The sequence below is a fragment of the Homo sapiens genome, chromosome 14 (genome assembly GCF_000001405.40).
Source record: "Homo sapiens chromosome 14, GRCh38.p14 Primary Assembly".
Taxonomy (NCBI): domain Eukaryota; kingdom Metazoa; phylum Chordata; class Mammalia; order Primates; family Hominidae; genus Homo; species Homo sapiens.
This window is the reverse complement of record NC_000014.9, coordinates 32,268,314-32,273,522: the sequence shown is the minus strand read 5'-3', so window position 1 is coordinate 32,273,522 and position 5,209 is coordinate 32,268,314. Positions and strand designations below refer to the sequence as shown.

Genomic DNA, 5,209 nt, shown 5'->3' with positions numbered 1-5,209 from the left:
GCAGAACAGCAAAGATTGCTGCCTGCTCCTTCCTCTGGAAGCTTCCTCCCAGAGGGGCACCAGCCTGATGCCAGCCAGAGCTCTCTGTATGAGATGCCTGTTGACCCCTGTTGGGAGGTCTCGCCCAGTCAGGAGGCATAGGAGTCAGGGACCCATGTGAGGAGGCAGTCTGTCCCTTAGCAGAGCTGGTGTGCTGTACTGGGAGAATCCCTTGTCAGGACCAGCTGTTCTCTTCAGAGCCTCTGAAGCTGCTCCCACAGCCGCCCCTTCCCCGAGCTGCTCTTTCCCAGGGAGATGGGAGTTATATCTGTAAGCCCCTGACTGGGGCTGCCGCGTTTCCTTCAGAGGTGTCCTGCCTAGTGAGGAGGGATCTAAAGAAGCAGTCTGGCCATAGTGACTTTGCTGTGCTGTGGTGAATCCCACTAGGCCAGACCTCCCACCCTCTTTAGCACTGTCAGGGGAAAACCAGCTACTAATGCCTCAGTAATCGCAGATGCCCCTCCCTCAAGCTCGATCGCCCCAGGTCAACTTCAGACTGCTGTGCTGACAGTGAGAATTTCAAGCCAGTGGTTTTTAGCTTGCTGGGCTCCGTGGGAGTGGGACCCACTGAGTGAAACCACTTGGCTCCCTGGCTTCAGCCCCCTCTTGCTAGAGGAGTGAACAGTTCTGTCTCGCTGGGGTTCCAGGCACCACTGGGGTATAAAAACTCCTGCAGCTAGCTCAGTGTCTGCCCAAACAGCTGCCCAGTTTTCTGCTTGAAACCCAGGGCCCTGGTGGTGTAGGCACACAAGGAAATCTCCTGATCTGCAGATTGCAAAAACCGTGGGAAAAGCATAGTAACCGGCCAGGTAGCACAGTCCCTCATGGCTTCCCTTGGCTGGGGCAGGGAGGTTCCCCTGGCTCCTTGCACTTCCCGGGTGAAGCGACACCCCACCCTGTTTCTGTGTGCCCTCCATGGGTTGGACCCACTGCCTAACCAGTGAGATGAACTGGGTACCTCAGTTGGAAATGCAGAAATCACCTGCCTTCTGCATCGGTCTCGCTGGGAGCTGCAAACTGCAGCTGTTCCTATTCGGCCATCTCCTTGCAGACTTTTTTTCTGTTATTGTTTTCTTGATTTCATTTTTGGATGCTTCATGTGTATGTTGATTTTGTATTCATTTATTGGTTGTAACAGTTTGTTAAGTCTTTAAAGTTTTCTACATATAAGATTATGTCGAGGTATCGTACGTGCGGCCAGCCGAGCCGGCGTTTCTGGCCCGCTTCAAGGAACGGGTCGGCTACAGGGAGGGACCCACCGTAGAGACTAAGAGAATTCAGCCTCAGCCCCCAGATGAAGATGGGGATCACAGTGACAAAGAAGATGAACAGCCTCAAGTGGTGGTTTTAAAAAAGGGAGACCTGTCAGTTGAAGAAGTCACGAAAATTAAAGCAGAAATAAAGGCTGCCAAAGCAGATGAAGAACCAACTCCAGCCGATGGAAGAGTCATATATCGAAAACCAGTCAAGCATCCCTCAGATGAAAAATATTCAGGTTTAACAGCAAGCTCAAAAAAGAAGAAGCCAAATGAAGATGAAGTAAATCAGGACTCGGTCAAAAAGAACTCACAAAAACAAATTAAAAATAGTAGCCTCCTTTCTTTTGACAACGAAGACGAAAATGAGTAAGTGTAAATATTTTGAATTCAGTCTACTTTGAAAGTATATGGAGTGTTCATTAAAATCACATTTTTTTCCTATTATAAAGATACTACAAGTTCTTTATAGAAAGTTTAGGAAATAGAGAAAAAAATTTAATAAACTACATCTATTCATCAATACCCCTCTGACTTAAAATGCCAACTCTATAGAAATTAGCTAGTATTAACATTTTGTTATTTCCCTTGTGTGGTTGTATATATATGTAAATTATATTTCTAAGCAAAATACATTTTTTGTGTGTGTAAACAAAATTTTATAAATACAACTGTATTGCAAATGTTCTTTGTCCTGCTTCTCACTTGACATTGCATTATGAGTATTCTTCCAGGTCAGTAAATTTCAAAAACCTGACATTAATAGCTACAGATAATTTCATAAACATCTCATTGTATCTTTTTCATTAGCAATAGCTCCACTTTGGGTGGGGGAGATGATAATGTGCTTTGTTAAAAATACCTCCCCAACTCCTGCTAAGGGTGGCCATGAGACTCAGCTCTGGCAAGTTAAGAAATACAGGTGGAATTCTGCTTGATAAAGCTGCTGGGTTTTTTTGTTACAAAAGGACAGACTTGGCAAGCATGAGCCTTTGCTCTTATCTTTTCATCCTACTTGGAGTGCAGAGATAAAACCTGAGTACCAGAGCCACTTTTAGGCATAAGGAAGGCAGCCATGTGCTTTGGGTCATGTTAGTAAAAAGACTCAGAGCTTGGCTCCTTGCTGACATGCCTGGAGGAGCTGCTACACCAGCTTGGATTGCTGACCTCTGACTTCTTGGTAGTGAGAAGAATAAACACTGTGCTTAATTAGGCCTCGGTCAGGTTTCTCTTATATGCAGCCAAATGCAGTCCTAAGTAATACAATAAATAACTGGTCAAACTGTTACTGGTGGAGGGTGTCCAGGTTCTTGGCATTTTGGACAAATAATTGAACAAAACGCACAAAGCAATGAATATCCTCTAGAGGTTTGCCATTGGTTACTTGGCGTACACCCTGTGTAAATGAAGTAGTGGCCCGTGACCTGTCTGATTGGTGCAGAAAGTGACCAATCAGAGGCTGAAGTGAAGTTACAAAGTTATACTCCTGTGTAAATGAGGACTTGGCTTATGACCAGTCTGATTGGTTGCAGGAGGGGACCAATCAGAGGCACTTTCATGTTTCATCTGCAATGCAGAAAAGGCAAGGGGATTGCAAAGGGAGTAGCCTCTGATCCTTTTGTTACTTAGGTATGGAGAGGTGGGGTTTTCCTTTTGATTCAGTTCTAGGAAGTCAATGTGAATCAGCCTTAGGTTCCCTGTCTCCAGACCCTATTCTCCTGCCTCATTTTCCCCCTGAGAGACGTGATCCTCGTAAATCTTTACGGGAGGCTGAGAGACTGAGGGTCTTTCTTCTGTAACTGCTTCATGCTAACTTGGGACACAGTCCCTACCTACTGGAGATCACGTAACTCTCACCCTGCTTTGTCTAGGGGAGACAGGGTAGCTTCTTGATGGCCGGTGGTGTCTTTACCTGAAACTGGCTAGAAATCTTGTCACATGATCATCTAACTTGGTGGTCTCTAGGCAAAAGGAAATGGATTTGGTTAAAAGATTTAACAAATATGGTCCAAAAACCAAGGCAAATATAATCATTAATAATGGGCTGGCCAAGGGAGGGAGCCATGAAACCCAACTTAGTGCCCTTTAGGTGCCCCAGCTGTTGTCATATTTTAGAGGCCCAGTCAGCTAGTTTTCAGGTGGTGTCCCTTACTAATCCTGATTGGCTGACATCAAAACAGCATTCTTCTTCTAGGAAAATACATAAGCCACCTGTTTCAGCAGTTAGGAGATCTAGTCCCCTTCAATTTTGCAAAGCGACCACTGCCAAGGAGCCTATCTGAATTTGTAAGGTGACAATACTTTGAGCAATGTTATCCAGGCTTTCCATAAAATCCTTGGACAAGCGTTGGTAATAGGATAGGGAAGTTGCAATCCCGCTAACTCCCATTCCTACCCCTGCTGTTATTCCTAGCCGTTGTGTCTGGTGGTTGCAGTTAAAGGTATAATGAGGGATTGGTTGTTGGGAGCTATATTAATTTAGGGACATACAATATTTCTGTCTCCAGTCTACCACTTCCACCAAAGACAAATCACAGCAGAACCGACCTAACTTCAAAATAAACTTCAGTCCCGTATACTGGGCCTGATTACCCACACAAAGTGCAACAAGAATCATTGTCCATATAGACTCTCCTAGATTGGCTTTGCTAGAACATTTCACAAGGCCATTTCAGTCAAAGTCCTGAGAAAGTAACCGGTTTCAATTGTGCCCTATTACAAAAGAAAACGTGGTTATTAACTTTATACAGACAAATGCCATGAATTAAGAATATTCATAAATAGTTTACAAATTCTGGAGAAATTAGAATACTCAATACACTTAAAGTGTATTTCAAGGCTATAAATAGCTCAAAATAAAAAGATTATTCAGACTCTGAAAAAACAAAAAGAAGTAGCAATATTTCAAACAACAAAAGCCATACAAATTATTTCAGTCTTCCATTAGTTCATTTCAGTCCATGTAATCAACTCCTGCTCTACTTCATATTCATCTTTATGAACACATCAGCCTTTCAATTAGTGCCTTGGAAGTTTTCTGTCTAATCCAATGGCACACTCTCCAAAGTTACCAGAAACCTGCATTCAAGAGTTCTTTTCATGAACTCCAAAGAAGTAAGCCTTGGACTGTAGCTGATTATAAGTCACTTTTTTTTTTTGAGAAGGATCACAGCAAAACATCAATTATGGATGACAAAAGTCTTAAGACAGCCATAAAGACACAGTTGACAAATGTGGCTATTTCTGTGGCTTACAACAATTTAACATAATCATTACAACATATATTAAGACATATCAGAATTTTAGAACTCTCATACAATCCTGGAACACATATTAACAACAAATCTCTATCAGTATAACCCAAAGGAAGCTAAACACCACTTCACACTTGACAATGTTTCCTGTATAATTCAAACATTACAAATAAGCCTAATATGTCACTCTTGAACTTCAGGAAGCCTAATATCCAAAAAGTTAGTTTAGGGTCAAAAGTTTTTGAATTAACTTTTTTCCATTAGTATGGTCATATCTTTCTTACTAATTTGTAAGTTATGTAATTTATCAATTTTTTTGTTGTTGTTCTGTTTCCCAACCTCTATGTCAGATAAAGAATCACCCAGGCCAGACACAATGGCTCATGCTTGTGATCCCAACACTTTGGGAAGCCAAGGTGGGAGAATTGCTTGAAGCCAGGAATCTGAGCCCAGCCTGGGCGACAAAGCAATACCCCTATCTCTACAAAAAATAAAAAATAGCCAGGTGTAGCGACACACACCTGTGGTCCCAGCTGCTCGGGAGGCTGAGCAGGAGGATGGCTTGGGCCCAGGAGTTCAAGGCTGCAGTGAGCTATGATTGCGCCGCTGCACTCCAGCCTGGGCAACAGAGTAAGAACTGTCTCAAAAAAAATAAAAAAT

The 5,209-nt window shown here is 43.1% G+C and overlaps 1 pseudogene; it reads left to right on the top strand.

Moving 5' to 3' along the window:
- KIAA1143P1 (KIAA1143 pseudogene 1) lies at window positions 1,220-2,178 on the top strand (annotated as a pseudogene).
- The last annotated feature ends 3,031 nt before the right edge of the window (window positions 2,179-5,209 follow it).